Genomic DNA, 1,872 nt, shown 5'->3' on the forward strand with positions numbered 1-1,872 from the left:
GCAAATGCTACAGGTACCGGCACCGCACAACTCAGCCCTCATGGCAGGCTGTCTGATCTTTTCCTTTTATCAGCTTCTCCTAGATGGCCTGACAGTGCTACCCAACGCTTCCCTAACAAACTCCTTGAGGATAGGGACTCATTCTCACTTCTTATGCCCGAAGTGCATACAGGAATCTTCGGCCATACAGAATTCTTAACAGTTACTATTGTGAGGATCAAAGGAGGAAACCACTCCAAATTTGCAACACAAAGCGTGTCAGTGGACAGGCACCTCTCTGCAGTACACGTCCTCCCTCTCTGGCCACCTTCACGCACACACACAGCAGACTGGTGCTGGGCAGGCAAGCTCAGGGCCTCTGCCAACTCCTCTGATGCCATCCTGGATGCTGGATGCGAAGGGACTGCAGCAGCTCTTCCCAACCGAGCAGAGGCATCCTGGCGCTCTGCAGCCCTTGCTAATCATCCCCCAAAAGCCTGTGGCTGATGAGCTCTAGGGGAAGACAGCAGTGGGCCTGCTTAATTATCAATGGGCTGGGCAAGCTAGCCCCGCAGGCCTGGCTTCCCGCAGCCCTGGAGGAAGAAGGCCAGCTTGGGTTTGTTAATAAAGACAGAATCTCCAGCCCAGTGGGAGCTGTGCTGGCAGAGTTCAAAACTCCAGAGCATATTGTACAAAATGCCGTTTTCCCTAGAAATTGAATTGGCATCCTATTTTTTTCTTTTCTTTCTTTTTTTTCTTTTTTCTTTTCTTTTTTTTTAATGAGACAGAGTTTCACTCTTATAGCCCAGGCTGGAGTGCAATGGCGTGATCTCAGCTCACCACAACCTCCACCTCCTGGGCTCAAAAGATTGTCCTGCCTCAGCCTCCGGAGTAGCCAGGATTACAGGCATGCGCCGCCACGCCCGGCTAATTTTGTGTTTTTAGCAGAGACGGAGTTTCTCCATGATGGTCAGGCTGGTCTTGAACTCCCATCCTCATGTGATCCACCCGCCTTGGCCTTCCAAAGTGCTGGGATTACGGGTGTGAGCCACTTTGCCCTGCTGGCATCCTATTTTTTTTTTTTTTTTAACTACTCTAAGCTCATTACCTCCTTCCCCTCCACTCTCCTTCCTCATCCAGCACCAGGCATGTACACTTCCTAACTCAACAGCTGGCTTCTAGGTGCCACCCTAAAAGGATTAGTCTTCTTTAGGTTCATAAATCAAAAAGAACACGGAAGCCAACTTGAGGGGGCTCCCACTAGCCAAGTTAAGGCAATTCAAACATCAAAAAGAATAAGATCTGTAATGGATTAGAACACTTTAAATATATAAAATCCATGAGTTTAGAAACATCTACAACTAAATGCGGGGTATACGGGAACTTTCTATCTTCATAACGTTTTTGTAAATCTAAAATTAAAAATATATTAAAAAAAGAAAAGTCAGACACAAAAGGCCAACTGATGTAATTTTACTTAAATGAAATGTCCAGATTAGGCAGCTCTACAGAGACAGAAAGCAGTTCATGGCTGCCAGGGGCTGGGGCAAGGGGGAAATGGGGGGTGACTTCTTAATGGGTATGAGGTTTCCGTTTGGAGTTATGAAAAGTTATGCAACTAAGCGGTGGTGATGGTTGCCCAACAATGCAAGTGTATTTAATGCCACCGAATTATACACTTTAAAATGGTACATTTTGTGTTCTGTGTATTTACTACAATAAAAAAGAAAAAAGTTTAAATGTGTACATTGTGGCAAAATATGTACAGGAATTTGTACATTTGCAAGAAATATAGAAGTTGGCATAACATCTTGAAAAACACCAGAATGACAAAAGGAGCCAAATCCTGAATATTGAAATCCTGCAGGACTAATGACCAAGTTTCTTAAACAA

The 1,872-nt window shown here is 45.0% G+C and overlaps 1 annotated feature.

The window, feature by feature from the left end:
• Window positions 638–1,361: an enhancer, noted in NCBI's record as "H3K4me1 hESC enhancer chr2:127585337-127586060 (GRCh37/hg19 assembly coordinates)". NCBI's record gives its function as "activates a minimal SCP1, AML or CMV promoter by ChIP-STARR-seq in naive H9 embryonic stem cells {active_cell/tissue: H9 hESC(naive)}" and the evidence as "EXISTENCE:reporter gene assay evidence [ECO:0000049][PMID:30033119]".

This window comes from Homo sapiens, chromosome 2 (genome assembly GCF_000001405.40).
Source record: "Homo sapiens chromosome 2, GRCh38.p14 Primary Assembly".
NCBI lineage: Eukaryota > Metazoa > Chordata > Mammalia > Primates > Hominidae > Homo > Homo sapiens.